The 22,234-nt window shown below is 34.4% G+C and overlaps 1 protein-coding gene across 7 annotated transcripts in view, besides 1 other annotated feature; it reads left to right on the top strand.

Moving 5' to 3' along the window:
• HMGN5 (high mobility group nucleosome binding domain 5) overlaps positions 1-21,742 on the top strand; it is an 88,215-nt gene extending 66,473 nt beyond the window's left edge. Inside the window, exons 2-7 of one of the 7 annotated variants that reach the window (NM_030763.3) lie at positions 13,769-13,906; positions 15,624-15,653; positions 16,682-16,711; positions 16,956-17,009; positions 19,100-19,237; positions 20,211-21,742. In NM_030763.3, the coding sequence (NP_110390.1) occupies positions 13,892-13,906; positions 15,624-15,653; positions 16,682-16,711; positions 16,956-17,009; positions 19,100-19,237; positions 20,211-20,792 (849 nt within the window). In that variant the 5' untranslated portion in view covers positions 13,769-13,891 and the 3' untranslated portion in view covers positions 20,793-21,742. Of the gene's footprint in view, positions 1-13,765; positions 13,907-15,623; positions 15,654-16,681; positions 16,712-16,952; positions 17,010-19,099; positions 19,238-20,210 lie in introns of those variants that run through there. The other 6 variants (XM_047442510.1, XM_047442511.1, XM_047442514.1 and 3 more) reach the window with 6 other exon arrangements.
• Positions 13,260-13,489: an enhancer, noted in NCBI's record as "active region_29791". NCBI's record gives its function as "activates an Ori minimal core promoter by ATAC-STARR-seq in GM12878 lymphoblastoid cells {active_cell/tissue: GM12878}" and the evidence as "EXISTENCE:reporter gene assay evidence [ECO:0000049][PMID:35858748]".

The following is a 22,234-nucleotide window of genomic DNA, read 5'->3' as shown; positions in this document are numbered from 1 at the left end:
GGGTTCTTTCTACTTGGCTATAATAAATAATGCCTATACAAACATCTGTGTATAAGTTTTTATGTGCATGTAAGCTTTTATTTCTATTTGTTATGAATCTAGGAGTGGAATTACTGAGTCATATCAAATCCTTTCCCCATTTATAAATTGGGTTGTTTGTCTTTTTCTTATTGAGATGTGAGAGTTCTTTATATATTCTGGATAAAATTCCCTTGTTGTACATATTACTTGTAAATATTTTCACATTATATGGGTTGTCTTTTAACTTTACTGATGATATTGCTTGCAGCACAAAATATTTAAAATCGATGAAGTCCAATTTATCTGTTTTTCTTTTATTGAGTGTGCTCTTGGTGTCATATTTAAGAAACCATAGGCTAACTCAAAGTCATGAAGACTTACTCTTATGTTTTATTATAAGAGTTTTATTGTTTTCACTCTTACATTTAGGTCTGTCATCTATTTTGAGTTGATTTTTTGTGTGTATGATGTGAAGAAGTTCACTCAATTTCATTTGTTTGTATGCTGGTTTTCACTCTTCCAGTGTCATTTGTTGAAAAGACTATTTTTTGCTCTATGGAATTCTCTTTGAACTTTTGTTGAAAATCAGGTGACCACAAATGTAATTGTGTCTTTGTGGATTCTGAGTTCTATTCCATTGATCCACAAGTCTCGCCCTATGCCACTATCTGTCTTAATGATGCTTTGTAATGAGTTTTGAAACTGAGAATTCTGAGTCCTTCAACTTTATTTTTATTTTCCAAGGGTACTTTGACTGGTCTGTGTCCCTTTAATTTAATTTCCACATAAATGTATCGATGTGTTAAACTGCAGATACATTGGGGGAGGGAGTTGGGGAGAATGTGAAGTGACTACCAATGGGCAAGGGATTTCTTTAGTGGGTGGTTTAAATGTTCTAAAATCTATTGTGGTGATGGTTGCACAATTCTGGATATACACAAAAACATACTGAACTGTACACTTTAAATGAGTTCAGTGTATGGCATGTAAATTATATCTCAATAAAGCTTATTAATGAAATAAATCTAATAATGAAATGTGAAGCTCTCATCACAAATTTAAAATAATTAAGTAATTAAAGAAGCCAAATATTATATCCAAAACTCATTGGAACACTCAAGTTCAATATGAAATCAAATGATAGTGTCCAAACTCATCATGAAGGGCCTAAACTGGCTATAATCGATGTTTGTAACCAAAATTGAGAAATGGCAGTACAGTACATAGCATGATTTCTAACAGACCAAAATTCAGTAGTCAGCTATGTTTAAATTAGAAAAGTTTTGTAATATTCATAACCACTGTTTTCTAGTGTCACTCTTTTTTTGCTAGATCTAAATGTATTCATAGTTTCATCATTAATAAATTCGTTCATTTATTGTACTCCTGGAAAACAAACAAGTATTTTTATGCTCATTATAATAAAAACATAATGGAAATTCAATTTACTAAAAACCTAAACCTCTTCATATTTAAAAATTTATTTGAAACATTGAAGTAATTGCTAACAAAAACCTAAAGAAGCTATCAAGTTAAAAAGATAACTTTTTATACTTCTATTTTAAGTTTAGGGGTACAGGTGCAGGTTTGTTACATAGGCAAATGTGTGTCATGGAGGTTTGTTGAAGAGATTATTTTATCACACGGGTATTAAGCCTAGTACCCATTAGTTATTTTTCCTGATCCTCTCCCTCCTCCCACCCTTCACCCTCTAATAGGTCCCAGTGTGTGTTGTTCCCCTCTTGTATGCCCATGTGTTCTCATCATTTAGCTCCCACGTATAAGTGAGAACATGTGGTATTTGGTTTTCTGTTCCTGGGTTAGTTTTCTAAGCATAATGGCCTCCAGCTCCATACATGTCCCTGCAAAGGACATTATTTCATTCTTTTTTATGGCTGCATAGTAGTCCATGGTGTATTTGTGCCACATTTTCTTTATCCCATCTATGATTGATGAACATCTAGGTTGATTCCATGTCTTTGCTGTTGTGAATAGTGCTGCAATTAACAAATGTTTGCAGGTGTCTTTATAATAGAATGATTTACATTCCTTTGGTTATATACACAGTAATAGGATTGCTGGGTCGAATGGTACTTCCGTCTTTAGTAGGTCTTTGAGGAATTGTCACACTGTCTTCCACAATGGTTGAACTAATTTATACTCTCATAAACACTGTATAAGCGTTCCTTTTTCTCCACAACCTCACAGCATCTGTTATTTTTTTTGATTTCGTAATAATTGTTATTCTGACTGGTGTGACATGGTATCTCATTGTGGTTTTGATTTGCATTTCTCTAATGATAGGTGATGTTGAGCTTTTTTTAATGTGATTGTTGGCCACTATATTTCTTCTTTTGAGAATTGTCTGTTCATGTCCTTTGCCCACTTTTTAATGGTGTTGTTTTATTTCTTCTAAATTTATTTAAGTTCCTTGCAGATGCTGGATATTAGACCTTTGTCAGATGCATAGTTTGCAATTTTTTCCCATTCTGTAGGTTGTCTGTCTACTCTATTGGTGGTGTTTGTTTGTTTATTTGTTTTGTTGTGTGGAAGCTCTTTAGTTTAATTAAATCCCACTTGTCAATTTTTGCTTTTGTTGGGATTGCTTTTGGTGTCTTTGTTGTAAAATCTTTGCCTGTTCCTATTTCAAGGATGTCATTGCCTATGTTGTCTTTTAGGGTTTTTGTAGTCTTGGGTATTACATTTAAGTCTTTATCCATCTTGAGTTAATTTTTCTATATGATATAAGGAAGGGGTCCAGTTTCAGTCTTCTGAGTATCGCTAGCAAGTTATCCCAGCACCATTTATTGAACACGGAATCCTTTCCCTATTGATTGTTCTTGTCAGGTTTGTCAAAGATCAGATATTTTTAGTTGTGCAGTCTTATTTCTGGGTTCTGTATTCTATTCCATTGGTCTATGCCAGTACCATGCTGTTTGGTTATTTAGCCCTGTAGTATAGTTTGAAGTCGGGTAGCATGATGCCTCCAGCTTTGTTCTTTTTGCTTAGGATTGCCTTGGCTATTGGGTGTTTTTTGGTTCCATATGAATTTTAAAATAGTTTTGTTCTAGTTCTGTGAAGAATGTGAATTGTAATTTAATGGGAATAGCATTGAATCTACAAATTGCTTTGGACAGTATGGCCATTTTAACGATAGTGATTCTTCCTTTCCATGATCATGGGGTGTTTTTCCATTTGTTCGTTTCATCTCTGATTTCTTTGAGCAGTGGTTTGTAGTTCTCCTTGTAAAGATCTTTCACCTCCCCAGTTTGCTCTAGTCCTAGGTATTTTGTTGTTTTTGTGGCAACTGTAAATGAAAGTTTATTCATGACAGGTCTTGGCTTGACTGTTGTTGGTGTATAATAATGCTAGCGATTTTTGCACATTGATTTTGCATCCTGAGACTTTGCTGAAGTTGCTTATCAGTTTAAGTAGCTTTTTGGCTGAGATGATGGGGTTTTTGAGAGATAGAATCATGTCACCTGCAAACAAGGATAGTTTGACTTCCTCTCTTCCTATTTGAATGCCCTTTATTTCTTTCTCTTGCCTGATTGCCTTGGCCAGAACTTCTAATACTATGTTGAATAGGAGTGGTGAGATGGGGCATCTTTGTCTTGTGCCAGTTTTCAAGGGGAATAATTCCAGCTTTTGTCCATTCAGTGTGATGTAGGCTGTGAGTTTGTCATATATGTTTCTTATTCTTTGAGGTAAGTTCATTCAATACTTAGCTTATTGAGAGTTTTTAACACGAAGGGATAAAGATAATTTTAATTTTTCATATGTCAGTGAAATTATGTGACATACACATGATGGTACATATGCCATATATTCGCCAGTCTTGTCAACATTTTAAGCAAGGAGGCTAAATTATTCCACAGATCAGCTGAATGATTCATATCTGCCCTTGTTTGCCTAAAATGGAAGCTGCAAGGTCATATTTTCTATTCATCCTGGATACTCATAAAGTCCTTTTCAATCCCCACACAGGTCCTTTGCAGGGGTTCACCTGACTATACTCAATGCAGTGTTCCACTTCTCTGTAGTCAAGAAAGAAAAACGAAATGTCATCCATTCACCACTGCCTAAGAAAGACATAGCCTAAATGGACAGCAAATGTCCAGTTATATAAAAAACCCACACAGCTGCACTGAGCCCTGGGAATAATGCCAGTATTGCTAATAGAGCAATGCTTCTCAATGTGTGGATACACTACCATTGGTGGTCCACAAGAAAATTTGCGGGGACACACTGGCAAATGTTTTAATAGTTATGTATTTGTTTTCTTGTGTACTAAGAAAAATAAATACTTAGCACACAAAATCTGTGTTCTCAAAAATATTACTTTTTGAGGATGGGTAAAAATTATGGTATTATTAGTAATTCCTTTACTTAGAATGCTCATCCATCTCTCTTGTTTGTCTTTGCCTCATGAGTAAGTTCTTCCCTGACCCAACTTTCAGACAGTTTTAGTTGGTTCTCCCTCTGGTCCCCATAATGTTTTTCACATATCTCATTTATATCACATTTCAGATTACAGTGTAATTTTTATAAGCACACTTATTTTTATTAGAGTGTGAGCTTCTCAAGAATCAGAGTCAAATCTTTGTATCCTTAGAGCCTGATACAGAGGTTGGACCCTTGTAGTGCTCAATTAATATTTGTGGAATTAATGCATATGAATTACAACTGTGGTCAGGATAATTACGTTCTACAAGCATTGATCTAGTAGCTATTTCTCAGTTGGAGGCACGATGGCAGGGTATCTCAGGGAGAACTGAAAATTTAAAACTACAAGACAGGAAACCAAGCATAATTAATTCTCTATTTGATTAATTACATTAGCAAAATTTTATATGCTGAGTTTTCTTATAATAATAGATTTCTGATCTAAGATTCAAAAGCAGAATTACTGAAAAGAAATAAAGGTTGAAAGAACTGAAGTTTAATTAAGAGAGCAGAGGCTCTGGAATCAAACTGTTCTGAGTTTGAATTCTTACTCAACAATTACTAGCTTTATCATCTGTATACTGAGGACCAGAGATAATTCATATGAAGCCTAACAAAGTACTTTATACATGGTAAGATCCTGATAAGTGCAAGCTGTTATTATTAATTTAAAGCATATCTTACTAATTACATACAACTAGTAATTCTGTGAGGTCTAGCCTAAGAGAAAAATATAAAGAAGTCCAGTTCTCCCCTCTTACTTTGTTACCATTCTTACTCCAACCCTCTCTCATGATAGCATTATGATCATTACCTTCCAGACTTATGCCAACCACCAGTTTAAAGCACACCTGGTCTCTCTCTCCAAAGTTCCTGGTATAAATCTTCCCTATACAAGGAAATAAATCATTTTCTAATTCATACTTTCCTGGTGGCAAGGAGATAATTGTTTAAATTTAAAAAGTTTTTTCATCTAATTTCTACTGGGTTAGAGTAAATCAGAATGCTGTCAAGCCAGGAAAGTACTTAATTAAGTAGAGAAGGTGACAATGAGTCAGCGTACTTTGTTGGAAAAATTACAGGCCAAAAGTTTAAGTAGGAGACCAGATTTCTAGTCTCTACTTTGCTAATAACTCACTTAGAAACTTTAGGTGAGTTGTTTAACTGCTCTAGCCTCAACTTCGTTACCTGAAGATGGTAAGTTCTATGCCGCCAAGACACTGGCTTATATTTTCAAAAAAATAAGGCTGTATCCCCCACTCACTCCTGAAACCAAAATAAATTCCAGAGGACTGAACAAATATTTAACTATAAAATGTCAAACTATATAATTTATAAAGAGAAGTGTAAATGGATTTGTTTATACCTGTGGAATAGAGAAACTCTTCTAAAGGAAAACACAACCAGAAGTAATAAAGGAAAATAATAAGACTACATAAAAGCTTAAGTCTTCTCTCTAGAAAAAAATATCACTATTAAGAGCTGAAAGAATGAAAGAGAAAATCCAGTAGAAAAAGAAAGGATATGGTCGAAAAATTCACAGACAGGAAATACAAATGGTCATCAAACATATGAAAAAATGTTCAGCTTCACTCGTAATTAAAGATATGCAAATCAAAAAAAGCCATTTCAATCTATTCAATTTTTAAAAATGAATAATTTTTCAGGTACCAAATGCTGTAATGTCAAAGTGAGCATGCTTCTGTGTCAGAGTATAAATTGGTGCTGCTCTCCAGTGCCAGTTCTTGCCACCTGTCTCTGAAGTACTTCTTTCCCAATCATTCTCAGAGATGACCCTCTTCCACTATTCCTATTTTCTGATTTGGCGTCCCACAGCCACTTTATAGTCTGGGACACTATGTGCAAATAGGTACTTTTTTCCATCACACATCATGTCACCTCCTCTGCTTTCTGGAAAGTTCAAAGTTCCTTCAATATGGCTCTTTTTCTCTCTCCTACTCTTTGGAGTCTCTTCTCTAATAAATAAGTTCTACAAATTTCAAGAACCTAGCCAGTGTAATTTTCAAATGGTCATTAGCAGTTGGCTGCCTGGAAGAAACGAAGACTTGAGTAAGCTCTTAAAATGTAAACAAAGCAAAAATTAATATTCAAGACATTAATCTTACCACAGTTATTTTAAAGATGAAATTAAGATAACCAAATACAATAGAATGCTACATTTATTGACAAAAATTAGCATAAACTCACAAAACAATGTTTCTGTTTTCAAGAGCTATACAAATATTAATATTTTTCACAGAGCAAAACCCATCTCACAAACCAAAAAAGCATGAACCATATATATTTTATTACCTTTTTTATCTCCAGTGTGGGCCTTATTCAGAAGAAATTAAGTGCTAAATGGTATCCAATCTTACAATAAATTTAGAAGTAAACTAGAACATAAAAACAAATAGGAAACTGAAGGAGTAATTATATTTTCCCTTAAACATGAATTGATCATGTGTCTGTATATGAAGTAGACTAAACAATATATATATTCCAACAAGTAAACTATTTAGAGAGCATATTTTTAAAAATATTATCTTATTTCCACTTAGGCAATTTAACCCTGAAACCAAGGGAAGGAGTTCCAAAGATATGCTTAGTTTATTGGAAATAATGAAAATATGTAAATGTGGATTTATACTATCGTCATTAAAATTTGTGAGAATTGAGCATGTCCATTTGCTTGAATTGTTACTCATTTCAATATAAAATATAATCTTTTTAGGTTTTGAGTAGGTGTAAATGATTGAAGCATGTCAGCTATTGTTTAACAAAGGAAGTGAGCATAGACTGAATAAAAAACGGATAGAAATAAACAAACAAAAAAGAATGATTCCTTGAAAAACAAGTAAATGTGAGAATGTCACCATGTCCTTAGAAGGTAAGAACACACACACACAGACAGACACACACACACACATATATATGATGCCTCCAAATATGACTCTTAAGACATAAATTTTAACGATTCCTCCTTAGTGAATCTCCCTTTCTTTCTTCCTTCCTGTACTCTAGCTTTGCTGTGCATTCTAGAGCATTTTAAAATTTAATACCTTTGTTGAAGAGCCATTTGTCCTTTTATCCTCTTAAAGGACTATACAGTTAATGTTAGCAATAGCAAAGATTGCCAATTCCCCATACAAGAAAATCTACTTGAGCTCTGCTACTTCATCAGAGTGTTCATATCTACACTTTGAGGATTAAAGACAACTAGTTTTAACATCATTTTATCTCACCTTAAATGTGTCTAAGTTAAAGCAAGCTCCAGTTGATGGCCCATGTGTTTCAAATAATTTACAACAAAACGAAACAATTCGTAGGTTATATGAAGCTTGTTATAAAATGATAAGTAAGGCTCTAAGTGAATGGATAAAGCCCAAAACAGGAAAAGGAAAAAAAAAATCCTAGCATAACACAAACTGAAGAAAATCAATTGTTACAGACATCTAAAAAATCGCATTTAACTTTAGCTTTTGGTTAAAATGCCATCAGTTTACTAAATTGAATATTTTTCTTAATAAAGATGTTGGTTTCTAACACACAACCTATTTGACAGGTCACCACTATTCTCTCATGAAGGGTGATTATTTCTAATCAACCCTCACTAGTGAACAGTTGGACTACACCGAAAACTGATCTATTCTTGAAAATAGGCTCTTGTCTCATATAGGCAGCCTGGGGCATTTATCAGTTCTTGAATTCTTGTTTCATTTCTTTTTGTAAGAGTAACCAGCATTAGTGAACTTTCTAAGGAGAAAAAGCCTGAACATTAAGGCCAATTAAAATAAACAAAGTGAAAATATAATTGCTTTAAACTAAAGATGTCATTTTTTCAATGTGCCACAATAGCCGCAAAACTTTAGAAGTGTCACAATCTACATTTCCATATTTTAAAAGCTATGAATTAATATCTGTGCTTCTATAAGTTGAGGATGAAGGTTAAACGTTCCTATCATATTAAGATTTTAAAAGTCTATTTCATGCAAAAAAACATAGATATCAACTATACCAAAAGTATAAATTAAGTTCAATAGATAGGATTTAGTAAATACCCTAGAAATTTTCTAAGAGAGTAGATATTAGGTGCTCTTACCACAAAACAATAATTTTTTTGTTGTTGAATATGTTGACTTGCTTGACCGTAGTAATCATTTCATTATATGTATATCAAAACATCATGTTGTACATCTTAATATATACAATTAATCTTTTAATTTTAAACAATAACTATGTATATAAATAAATTTAAGGGAAGCTGAAATCTTATAAAGTAAGAAAGTTTGAAACTCTTTTCAAGTAAATGATGACACCTACTGGATGTTAGAAATCTTCAAATAACATTTAACCAATAATGAATCTCATCCGCAATTTTTATCTGAAAACCTCTTTGCTGGCAAGGGAAAGAAGAAAACATGGGCAAGCATTTGGACGTTCAAGATTAAAAACTCACATTCACCAGACTTACTTTAGACCAAAAAACAAATAAAGGAATAAGGTAAAAAGTAGTTTTTCTCTTCTGAATTTTCTACTTTCTTGAGGTATAGAAAACTGACTAGAGAATACAAGTTTAAGATCATAGATGAGTGAGGATCCAATGAATCAGTAAAAAGATATATCTGAAGTAGGTTGACAGCCAGAGTTTCATCTTGAGTTTTAAGGTCATTGAGATGGAACATAATTCGTGTTTACCAAATGTGTCATTTAGTCATTAACATTTCTGTATAAACTGTGTAATTGCTGATATCACAACCGTAGATAAAATTTTTAGTAAAAAAGTGAAAAAAACTGCCTGATTTTTTTTTTTTTTTTTTTTTTTTGAGACTGCGTCTTGCTCTGTCACCCAGGCTGGAGTGCAGTGGCATGATCTCGGCTCATTGCAACCTCTGCCTCCCAGGTTCAAGCGATTCTCCTGCCGCAGCCTCCCAAGTAGCTGAGATTACAGGCATCCACCACCACACCCCGCTAATTTTTGTATTTTTGGTAGAGATGGGGTTTCACCATGTTGGCCATGTTGATCTCGAACTCTTCACCTCAGGTGATCCACCCGCCTCAGCGTCCCAAAGAGCTGGGATTACAGACGCGAGCCACCACACCCAGCCAACTGCTTAAATTTTAATAGATGATCTTTCGCAAGTCATTTAAGCTCTCTGGGCTTGTGTTTATTCATCTGTATTCCAAGGGTATTGAAACTAGAAAATCTCTATTAGTATCTGCTAAACTTGAATGTCTGAAAGCCTAAAAATAGCATTCTTTTAAATTGTTACTTTAAAAGTCGGTAGAAATTTTACAAATAGAAACATAAAATGTATTATATTCCTTTTACCCCTAGAAAGCAGCTCAATTTACTTTTACCACTGGAAAAATAATCTATCTGTCATATCAGTGGCTACTCTTTAATTCAGTATTTTATTAGTCTTTGGCCTGCTGCAAATAAACATAGGACATAGGAAGATTTGGGTCACCAGAATTACAGTTTTTCCAGAGTCAGTCTCAGCTAAGTGGCATCATCAATTCAAATAAATTTCTGATATCAATCTTAAACAAGGCTCAGAAATAAGTGTATTGATGTATTTGGCTCACTGTAGACTTGGATTTATTTTACCCTCTGAAAATACCAACAAAAAAAATCTAAAACACTGTATTCTAATAATATGATAGAATTCTTGCATTATTTGCTGACAATAGTATATAGTTTTCCAATTTTTTATTTTATTAAAATACAACAGGAATAATAATGGTGTTGCATGAGGTCAAAATTAGAGATATTTTAACAGAGAAAATAAAGTATTTCTTACTAGTCAATCAGTATTTTTGAGATCCCATTGCATGCAAAGTAGTGTATCTAGAATGCTTTTAATTAATCATATATATATATAATTTTAAACTATGAATATACAGAACATTTGAAGACCTGTTTTATCTTGGCTGTTTAGCATTCCTTTTCTCATAAATACATAATATTTTCTTTTGGATTCTCTGTCAATATATCTTAATGTTGGTGCCTTTAATCCATAAATTTTCATATCTTCCTGTGTCATTTTTAACTGGTTACTAAATGGACACGTTACAGTTCCTGTAAATTTTGGGAGTGGTAGTAGGCATGCTTAATAGCCAGGTAAAATTAGGGAATTCTGTGGAGAATTGTCAGGCAATCAATTTTCCTAGTCATTAATAAATTAAAAAGAGAAACAAGCCAACGTAATCTTAGAAAAAAATAGTCCAGTAAAAAGTCTCACTTTGACAATTACACAAAAATAACCTTTTTACTCTGGAATAATTTATCAATTTTAGAAAAATATATTGGAAAAGTAGTAAATTCTACAGAAGGTATGTAGAGTGTGATGTGCTGAGTAAATATTTAGGCAAAAGGAAATAAGTATATACAAGTTTGACCCAATTTGAAGAAGTTTGATGGAGTGGTTGGGAAAAAAAGGAAAAATCAAGCTTGCTTGTGTCCTATGAGTAGTACAATCTAAATTGTATAGTATAACAGCAGGGAAGAATTTCTTAGGGCTAAAATAATTGAAGAAGGCTTTTGTCAAAGAGGTGATATTTGGATTGGGTCTAAACAGTTTGGTAAACATTTGATAGGTGAAGATATTTGAGAATGGGGCTGCAGTCAGAGGTAATAATACTGCAAAGGCAAAGAGCCTAAACAGGTTTGCTAATGTAAAGGACCGCTCTGGTTAATGGTTAGAAGGAAGAACATGAGGAAATGGGGGATTGGGGTCAAGAAACAGAAGAATGTTTCACACTTAGAAAATGTTCTTTTGCATGCATGACTATTTTTTCAATTTAATAAGATATAAATCACAGTTGCAACACGTTAGCCTTCAAGAAGAAAAAACTGGCCAAAAAAGAAAATTGCTGACAAATTTAAGAGGAGTTTTAGAGCTCACTGACCTGCACATTATGCTTTGCTTCTCTAAGCTTTACCTTCCAAGGCTCCTCAAGATAATTTGTTTCAATCCACTTGGACTAGGCACTATGTTCCCTGAACAAGTACAACCTTTTCCTGCCGCTGCATTTGCTGTAATGTAACAGTCTACCGAACTGTTCACAGGCAAGCCAAATTCCACTTCCTCAATCAAACCCTTTGCCAAGTTACCTTAGTCCTAAAAGATCCTTCCCTCCTGTTTTATTATTGAATTTAGATTGCACCATTCAGATAATACAATCAGCTTTGATTTGTAAATAGGTATGCATCTGTTTGCTCAATCCTACAAAATTATAAAATTCCTTAAAGACAGAAGCTGTGTAATGCAACTTTGCATGCTACAGGGTTTCGCATTTTCATAAGCTAGTCTACAAAAACAAAATCCGACTCACAAAATAATGCTAAATAAGAATTTGTTGAATGGATGCATTCCACTGCTGACACATTTTCATTCCCTTCATTTTTCTTCTTATCCTTATGAGGCAATCCTTATATTAAAATCAATTTTTATGCTTATCTTCTAACTGTTGGAGAATAAAATGATTGAAACATATTTAAGTTCACCCAGGAATGCTTTTACCATAAGGGCAAAAAGTGACATCAGGAACATCTAGGGATTATCCCAATAACTGTGGACGAAGGAAGCAATTTAAATATCTTTCTGATTTACTTACTTGAATTAGAATGCAGTATGAAGTTGGGGGAAGGAAACTGAGCAGCAGTCACGCAGGCTCATTCTACCTGATCTATGTAATTCCATACTATCAGTGCTGGGGAAGAATGGGCAATAATAATAATAATAATGATATAAATATATAACAAAATAAAAATAATATAGCAATAGTAAATATAATAATTACAATGGGTTATTCTGTTAGGCTGTATTTTTGCTTGAAGGGATGGTTTGGCACTCTGTAGCAGATACAGTGTTTATCTCTTAAACTGATTATTCCAAATTTTTTAACCTACATAAACACAAATGAATTCTTCCTAAAGTAACTGTTCAAAAGGTTAAATTTCTTTTTTGATTAACCCTCCAGGATAAGGATTTGGGTTGTTGTTTGGGAGCACTTTTATACACAGGTAGCTCTTACAACAACCACATCAAGGCGCCTCTGAGAAAGGGCGGTGGGGAATTAGATCCTCTATTTTAATCATATTTATTCCCAAGTAATTTATTCATCAATCTCCACCTCAACCCTGAAAACTTTAGGTCTCAGAAACTGACACTGAAAGGCACCTATAAGCCTCTCTTACAGTCGAAAGTCACCTAAATATGGCTGGGACTAGAGTGACGCTATGGAGACATTCTCCTTTGGCAAAAATTTTAAAGGGCCGCCTAGAAACTCAGTAATGAAGATACTTAATATTTTTAGACAATCTTTTTAAATATCAAAATTCTTGCAAAAAAGTCCATGATGAACAAAATATCAAAAATTTAAATAAAGACAGGATCATACCCTGCACTTGCGTGACTCACCTCACTCGCCTCATCCTAGTCTCCTGGGTTTTTGTCACAAGCTTAAATTTTGTGCCTGAGGCGAGTACCTCAATGGCTTTATGCTAGTCTAGGTTCTGAGTCCTAAACACTTTCGTGGATAGCACCTTCTTGAGTCCTTTCACTAAATGCAACCTTCAGATTAAAAATCTATTCTCAGTGTTTTTCATTTGGATAGACCTCTGCTATTACACATTTCCCTCGGAGTCCCGCTGAATTCTTCGTATACCTCCTCCAAGTGGGATAACGGTATAGCTCCCGGTTTTGTCGCTACTCTACACCTGCGGAAAACACGCCATTTTGGCACCCTCCTCTTGCCAGCACCACAGTTCTGCTTTGGCAGGATGTTCCCACACCAGAGAAACATCTCCACTCTTTTGCGCTTTCTGAATGAATGTTCTTGTCGGTTCAACACCATCCCGCCAAAGGTGGCAGGGAAAGACCGGAGCCCAGACTCAACTGGTCTTAAAAGCACTTATCCCGCTAGGAATAGGGAAGGGTGGCGGGTTTGGAGGCTGTGAAGAAAGCAACTGTTGTGGCTTTCGCCTGTCATTATAACATAAAAGAAAAAAAAACTGATCAAGTCAGCTCTGGCTTTCCTGCTGTTCTTATTCCTGATCGCTTAGCCCTTGCTAAGTTCGCGTGCTCCGCCACTACACCAGCGGTTAGAGCCGACAGGGAACGAGGGCTTCGGGCAAGTTCGCGGGCCACGCCCCTCAAAGCCGGCTGCCTCTTCTTATTGGCCTGAGAGCCTGTCACTCCAATGTGGCTCCCACTCCGGTTAACCATTCACGTAGTTTGGTTGCGTCTTGGCGTGTTTAATGTTGCCAATAACGAGGGATTTTTTTTTTTTCCAGAGGAGAGTACAGGTCGTGCTGCAGTTAGTTCATTGAAAACTCATTTGCTCTTGGAGCAGTCAGGCAGTGACTGCCTTCGGCTTTTTTTCTGCTGACTAAGATCTCCTATAGAGAGCTACAACAATGCCCAAAAGAAAGGTAAGTGAAATGGAAAGACAGACGGGGAATGAGCTGCTGAGTTACCTATTTCCTAATAGGAAGAATTTATTTGTTTGTTTGGTTTTTTTTAAAGCTTTTTGGCTTCTTCCATTTTGTGATGTAATGAAACGGAAAGGGGTAGAAGGGCAAAGAGCAGTCGGTGTAAGGTTTAGGATGGTCTTGCATGCAACTGGTAGTTCACTTTTGGAGTGTTCTGTTTAAGGAGAGAATCTCTTGAAAGGTGTCTCCATGCTGAATTACAAACAGCCATAGCGCTGGGCTGTCGCTTCCTACCCCAACCCCCTTCCTCCGCTTACCCTATTGGAGAACACTTCTCCCAACCATACTTCAGTTTCCTCCTCTGCCACCGGCTTTTCTCGGGGAACCGTCCCGTCTGGGGAACGAAAGCCATGGCTTTCTCCTGTATTTGCCTTTGTTCTTCCCGTTTTCTTTTTTCTTTTTTTTTTTTCCTTCCCTCCTCCTCCACTTCTTGTCAGGCCAGATGGCTATGCAATGGTAATCCTGTGCCATTAGGCGGCGCAGACTTCAAACTGTCCTAGAGAACAGAGATTCACCGCTGTAATTAGAAACTTTAGGGGTGAGAAAGCTGGACCTTTCCAAGCTCTTTAGCTAAAGATGGGAAGATTATAAGGAGACAGCGTCGGATAAACTTGCTGATGTTGGGGTAGCATGGATTTGTTCACTTTAGTAGTGCAGAATTGATCTGAGCCTTTCGAGCTCCACAGGTCTTCTGCAAACCCTCACTTCACAATTCCTGGCTCCTCGCAGACAGGAAACAAGTTCACGCTCGGCGTTTTTTTCTTAGTCCCCTAGAAGTGAAATCGAACGCTGTTTCATTGCTTGGTAAAACCGTATAACACTATGCTAAGACATTATGATTGTTTTTGGATTATTCCTATAAACAACTCCGCCTTCCTTATTCCTAAAACATAGGAATAATACTGAAATTCCCCCGTGCTCTGTGGCTGTCTGAATCGTGCAATAGCTTGATAATTCTCAGGCTAAAGGGCTGCTCAGATATGGAAAACAACTGTTTCTAATCACCATCCCCCCTTCCTGAGATTCCCGCCACTGTGCTTTTCTATACTTGTGCAGTAGGTCTTGCTGTTTTCCAGAGCTGACAGCAACCTTAAAGCAGGTAGTGGCGGGAAGTTTTAAAATCGGCGGCCAGTTTCTTAGAATAAAGCATTGACTTTGTAACAAAGAGGTCTCCCCAAGAAAACACTGTGGGGGCTGTAATTCTTGCATGCAAAACTTGGAGAAAATAGTCCAGAATCAGTGGAGAGGATAAGATAGGTACAATTGCATGGCAAACATAAGGCAAGAAAGCGAAATTGCATGAAGCTCCGCCTTCATTTGACCCACCCCCACATTTTTGGCTTTTACATTATCTAAAGCAGGTGGATTTCAAAATTACAAAGGTTTGCTTTTAGGAGATGCAATTTACACAAAAGGATGAAATTAACTATCAATTGTGTAAAAGTATGTCTTGTGCATGCACTTGCATCTTGGTGCACATTAGTAAAACAGCAGTATGTAGCATGGTTCCTAAGAAACAACACGTGTCTACTTGAGCAGGAACCCAGGAGAAAGTAATAAGCAATTATATTGAAATTTGTAATCCGCAGGCAGTATTTTCTGATTTATGTGTTTATATCAATGACCTTATTTCTGTGTGGTTTTCTCCTCTGTGTAGGCTGCAGGTCAAGGTGATATGAGGCAGGAGGTGAGTTTCTTTAGTCTTAGCATCTATTAGGAAAAACCACTCGTTTTATAAACTTGACATAAGCAGCTAAAAAATAGATGCTGGTTGGTATATTTGTACAATATGAGTTCCAATATGGTATACCAGTGGGATCTCTCAAAAATATATATCCGAATTTCAGAAGAGAGGACTTTTTAAAATTGCCATTCAGAATAAAAGAAAAGGCTTTTTCACTTTTTTTTATAGAAATGATGGTACGGAAATATTCTTGACAATAGAGATGTGCTAATATTTTATTTGGGTGTTTTGTGGGTTAGACTATGATTTGGTGTGTGTACTTTACAGGCTTACATGTTGCTTACTTTAGAAAGTTGAGGCTCTAAATGACTGTTCACATATGTGAAACATTTCTTAAAGTACTATATAGTTTTTGTTATTGCATTAAATATATATTGTTCTAACTCCTAGAGTATGCCATCTTCTATATGTCCTACAAAGCGAGAATCATTGTTGTGCGACAATTATATTAAAGAAACCTCTCAGTTTACCTTTATGGCCTTGTTAATCTAATATTTTGGTCAATGCATATTATTAATTTTAATCTAATTAATGCACAATAAAAATATACTGAGTGTGAAAAAAATGTATATATAGTAAGTATTAAAAACTGCAAGCTTCTTCGAATTTAAGACCTTATTGTGCTTGTTCAGATGTGGAGAGAACTTCTTCCTTTTAAGCAAAATAATTGCTTTGTCATTTGGCAAGAAAAGGCTATATTTTCATTTCTAAATGTGCTCCTTGTTACTAGCTACTGTGTTAATTTAGCCTAGCTGCTTAAGCTTAATTTGGGACTTTTTCCTTAGTATGTAAAGTGTTCAGAGGACGGAAAAATCAAAACTTATATTTCTCTTGTATTTTCTAACCAAATTCACAATTACTTAATGACAATATTTATGTATTGTTACACCAAATATTTTGACCTCAATAAAAATAATTCTAGCTTTTTGTATCCATAATTCTCTTAACAGATTTTTGTTTTTAACTTATAGCCAAAGAGAAGATCTGCCAGGTTGTCTGCTGTAAGTAATCTTTTCAAAAAGCAGCCCATGTATTGTGAAACGTCATTTTAAAATTTAGGGAATCCTAAAATATTCAATACACGATTTATTTTTGAAGTTTTAAGAAAAACTTTCACACCAAGGAAATGTATTTTTTTTCCTAATACTCATTTATTTTAATTCAGAGGTTGGATTTCATTTTTAGCGTTCTTTCTTCAAATATGATTTTTTTCCTTTTCTTTTCTTTTCCCACAACTTGAAGCAGATGCTTGTGCCAGTTACACCAGAGGTGAAGCCTAAAAGAACATCAAGTTCAAGGGTAAATATTCAACGTAGAATATTGAAATAAATTTGCTTTTTTTTTCAAAAATAATTTTTGAAATGGCATACAGCTGATCATTTTACTTTGCTTATATTTTGTTCAGTTAGTAATATATTATATTCTATCATATGATACATGTAAACCCCTTGGGTGGGGATTATTTGTTCTGTTTTGTGATTGTCCACAGTGTTTTGACATTTTCACTGGGTAGAGACAAAACAATTTCAGTTGGATAGGCCCATTAAATGTACATGCCTTTGCTATCATATAGTGACAATACTGTTTCCCTGGGAAAACAAAAGGTGAAAACAGTAGTAACCCCAAAGTTGTGCTTTGTAATAAAAGTAGTAACTAACATTTGATAATATTTTACAGTTGGCAAAGTATATAAGATTATATATAATTATATATATAATATATGTAAGATGTATTTGCATATGTTAATTTTAAATGGACACAATTGATTTTGTATGGACTTATATACTCTGGTGTTATGGCTAAAGGCATGTAGAAATAGATATAATCTCAATATTTAGTTTACTGCTAATTGCTTAATACATAAGAATATTGATTGAATTCCTGAAATCATAAAAGGTTAAAGCTATGAGAAACATTAGAGAGCATCTAATCCTATCACTTTGTAGTTGAAGAAAGTATAAACTGTCATTATGTTCATAAATGAAATCCTTTATTAAAAAATATTGCTAAACTTAGGGAAATTGAAGTTTTAGTAATAATTGATATATTTAATGGTGACAAAAGAAAAGAAGGTTTTTTTTTCTGCATTTTACTTTTCAAGTCCACTATTATATAAGGTTAAATATTCAACTTACTAGTTTTTAAAACAGTAAATACAGCATATTTTCTTTTAAAAAGAAAAGTAAGGCCAGACGTGGTGGCTTACACCTGTAATCTGAGTACTCTGGAAGGTTGAGATGGGCAGATTGCTTGAACGTAGGAGTTTGAGACCAGCCTGGGCAACATAGAAAATCACCATCACCACAGAAAATACAAAAATTAGCCGGGCATGCCTGTAGTCCCAGCTGCTTGGGAGGCTGTTGTGGGAGGATTGCTTGAGCCTGGGAGGAGGAGGTTGCAGTGAGCAGAGATTGCCTCACTCCAGCCTGGGCGACAGAGGGAGTCCCTGTCTCAAAAAAAAAAAAAAAAACGGAAAAAAAAGAAAAGAAAAGAAAAATAGGGCTAGACTAAAACATATACTATATAACCATAGACTTTACCCTCCTTGGCTCTGTTTCTCATGTGTTAAAAGAGTAATAACTTATATCTAAATTACAAATTACAGTTTCTAAAGCATTTTTTTCATGTGTTTTCTCATTTTCTCCTTGTAACATCCCCGTGAGGTGGGTGGTATTACTCTCTTTTTATATATGAAAATAACAGCCTCAAAGATACTTATGCCTTTGCTCAAGATCACATCACATAAGTGGCAGATCTAGAATTCAAACACAGGTTTTCCGGCCCCTCAATCCAGTGGTCTTTCTATTACATACACAGGTAGGCAAAAATTTTCTTGGTGAAGTCGTCATGAATCAGGGCATTCCAAACTTGTAGATACAAAGATTGAAACACTTACATCACCATAAGGTCTTTTAAAAATATATCTAAATTGTTGTTCTCACTAACAGCATTTCTCTTAATTATTACCAATGGAGGCGTAACGATCAACAAAACCCTGTTCCTTATTAATTAGACTTGACAGAAATAAACTGACCCTCTCTAGACAGAGGGAATTAATTGATCAGTCTAACCTGATGCCAGCAGTTTGTCCTTGGCAGCAACTAGTCAGCATTCTAACTGGTTGCCTCTCATCTATATCACTCAACTTAAAAGGAAATTTATTTTGTTTATATCAAGGGAACATTGTTCATTTTTAATCCTGCTTTAGGCTTACAATGAAATTTACAATGAAGATATTATATGATAATTTTGTTGATACCAGATTTATATGTGATACTTTAAAGAGTTTGCATAAATTATTACAACAGCTGGTAAAATAATTGTGACCATTTAATCAACACAGCAGTTAAATTGTATATTTACTTTCATTGTTTTATATTGCTTGGCAGAAAATGAAGACAAAAAGTGATATGATGGAAGAAAACATAGATACAAGTGCCCAAGCAGTTGCTGAAACCAAGCAAGAAGCAGTTGTTGAAGAAGACTACAATGAAAATGCTAAAAATGGAGAAGCCAAAATTACAGAGGTATTTTCTAATGTTAACAGTTTTATCTATTTGAAAGTTTAACAATGGGTACAACTGAAAGAAATCCTATTTGCCTTTTAGTTTATAAGTTGGAAAAAAATTAAGTGAGCAGTGGTTCTATAGTATAATGGTATCTAAGAGGAAAATAAAATTAACTTAAAATATGAGAATTTAGAGGGACCAGTAGTGCGAGCAGTGGCTTAGCATTGCTGTTACTAGAACAATGCCAATGATTATGACTTAGTACTAACATAACAACCTTCTTATTAAATACAAGCCAATCTTTATTCCTTTTATCAGCACACAGGCTATTTGTAAATCCCTTTTCCAGAATTTATGATTCTTTTATTTCCTCTGTGGATGGCAAAGCAAATCATTATATAAATGTTTTTAATCTTATTTTGCATATTTAATGCATACAACATTTTTAGGTATTGTAATAAAACACTGAAAATGGGTGTAGCCACCAAATCTATAAACCAAACATATGCAAATATGGAAAATCTTTTGTAAGTTATCTTATAATATCTGGTACAGTACTTTTCAAGTAATTTTTACATAAAAAATATCATTATTATAGAAACAAAATATGTTATTTTCCAAGGACTATATTTTGTTTACATGCATAGTCCTCATTAAGAATTGCTGATACAGAATAAATATATGTCATCCTTTAAGTATTTACTTTGTGCTTCTTCATATTTGAAATAAAAAGTATTTATAAGTGTTTCTGTATTTATTGTTTCAAATATCTATTTGTAGATATTTCCGTGGACATATTTTAGTTAATCTCATTTCTTAGAATGTTTTCTCATAATGTGATATTTAGCAGGCTTCTTTCACAGGAAAATTACTTTCTTTAAATGAAGTATTAGTCTTTCTGTGAAATAGATATAATCCAGTGTAAATATTTAGGGGAAATGGTTCTAAATTTACAGACAGAATCTTGTTTTTCTTTTCACTATACTTACAGGCACCAGCTTCTGAAAAAGAAATTGTGGAAGTAAAAGAAGAAAATATTGAAGATGCCACAGAAAAGGGAGGAGAAAAGAAAGAAGCAGTGGCAGCAGAAGTAAAAAATGAAGAAGAAGATCAGAAAGAAGATGAAGAAGATCAAAACGAAGAGAAAGGGGAAGCTGGAAAAGAAGACAAAGATGAAAAAGGGGAAGAAGATGGAAAAGAGGATAAAAATGGAAATGAGAAAGGAGAAGATGCAAAAGAGAAAGAAGATGGAAAAAAAGGTGAAGACGGAAAAGGAAATGGAGAAGATGGAAAAGAGAAAGGAGAAGATGAAAAAGAGGAAGAAGACAGAAAAGAAACAGGAGATGGAAAAGAGAATGAAGATGGAAAAGAGAAGGGAGATAAAAAAGAGGGGAAAGATGTAAAAGTCAAAGAAGATGAAAAAGAGAGAGAAGATGGAAAAGAAGATGAAGGTGGAAATGAGGAAGAAGCTGGAAAAGAGAAAGAAGATTTAAAAGAAGAGGAAGAAGGAAAAGAGGAAGATGAGATCAAAGAAGATGATGGAAAAAAAGAGGAGCCACAGAGTATTGTTTAAAACTGCCCTATGTAGTTTCATAATTTGGTAACATGTACCTTCATGTTGTAAAGTTAATAGAGATAAATATTTTTATCAAAAATTTTATAAACACAGCCTTTCTTTAGCATTGATTTAATTTCAGAACATCTTCATATTGATTATTAGCCATAAAGTTTCTAACATGAAACATTTATCTATAAATTTTGTGATTATAGTAGTGGAATACATAGAAAAAAATATGCTTTCAACTTTGTGAGTGAATTTCGTGTTGTGTAAGTTATATGTCAAATCTTTGAATTTTAATTTTACTCTTTTATACATGTGATAATTTCATAAAGTGAGGGATCCCAAAAAAAGAGTTTCATCCAACATTCTTGTTCTGCAGGTTGCTTTTATAAAGAAGGTGAACTATTTTCATGTAATGTTAAGAGTTAAACTTATCTTTCCCAAATATAACTTTATTATTAGCTTGGGAAAAATGAAATTGTATTCCCATTTTTAAAATAAATACAAATGTTTATTTCAGAAGGGCAGTTTTGATTATATGTGAATACACAAATTTTACTGGATTTATCTTAATAAAAAGACTCTGACGATGATTGTGTTTTGTTATATCTTCAAAAATATAGCTAGTGAAATATTGTGCTTAATTTTTTTCTATTGTGTTATTCATGAAAATATTTAATATTCACTGACATAAAATTAATATAAAGTAAAATTCACCATTTTAATTATAATAAAAATAAAGTATATAATTCAATGGTTGTCAGTATATTCACAATGTTGTGTCCACTGTTTAATTCCAGAGAATTTTTATCACCCAAATAAGAAACAAAGCACCAATTAGCAGTCTCTTCCCATTTTCGCCCAACTTATCCCCCACCTCCATCCCTTGGCAACCACTAATCTGCCTTCTATCTCTATGGATTTGCCTATTCTGAACATTTATTATAAATGGAATCACATAATATGTGTGTGGCCTTTGGTATCTGGCTTCTTTAACTTAGCAAAACGTTTTCAGGTCAATCTCCATTGTAATTTGTATCATTACAGCAGGTCTCAATTTTGTTCAATGCTGTTTGGTTATAATTTTGATGAGAAAATAGATTCCCAGCTGGGGCCACTGTTTGTGGAGTTTGCAAGTTCTCACCATGTCTTCATGAGTTTTCTCCAGGTAGTTCAGTTTCCTCGTACATCCCAAAGAAGTGCATTTTAGGTTAACTGGCATGCCTAAATGATCCCAGTATGAGTGTGTGTGTGTGTGTGTGTGTGTGTGTGTGTGTGTGTTCCCTGTGATGGACTGGAGTCCTGTCTAGGATGGGTTCCCGCCTTGCCTTCTGAGCTGCTAAAATAGGCTGCAGCGATCCACTACTGTAAACTGGAATAAGCATGTAAATAATTATCTTGTTCTTATTGTTCTTAATTCTATGCATAGCTTATATTTATTTCAGTGTTTAATA

The sequence above is a fragment of the Homo sapiens genome, chromosome X (genome assembly GCF_000001405.40).
Source record: "Homo sapiens chromosome X, GRCh38.p14 Primary Assembly".
In the NCBI taxonomy this organism is placed as follows: Eukaryota; Metazoa; Chordata; class Mammalia; order Primates; family Hominidae; genus Homo; species Homo sapiens.
This window is presented reverse-complemented; position numbering and strand designations above follow the sequence as displayed.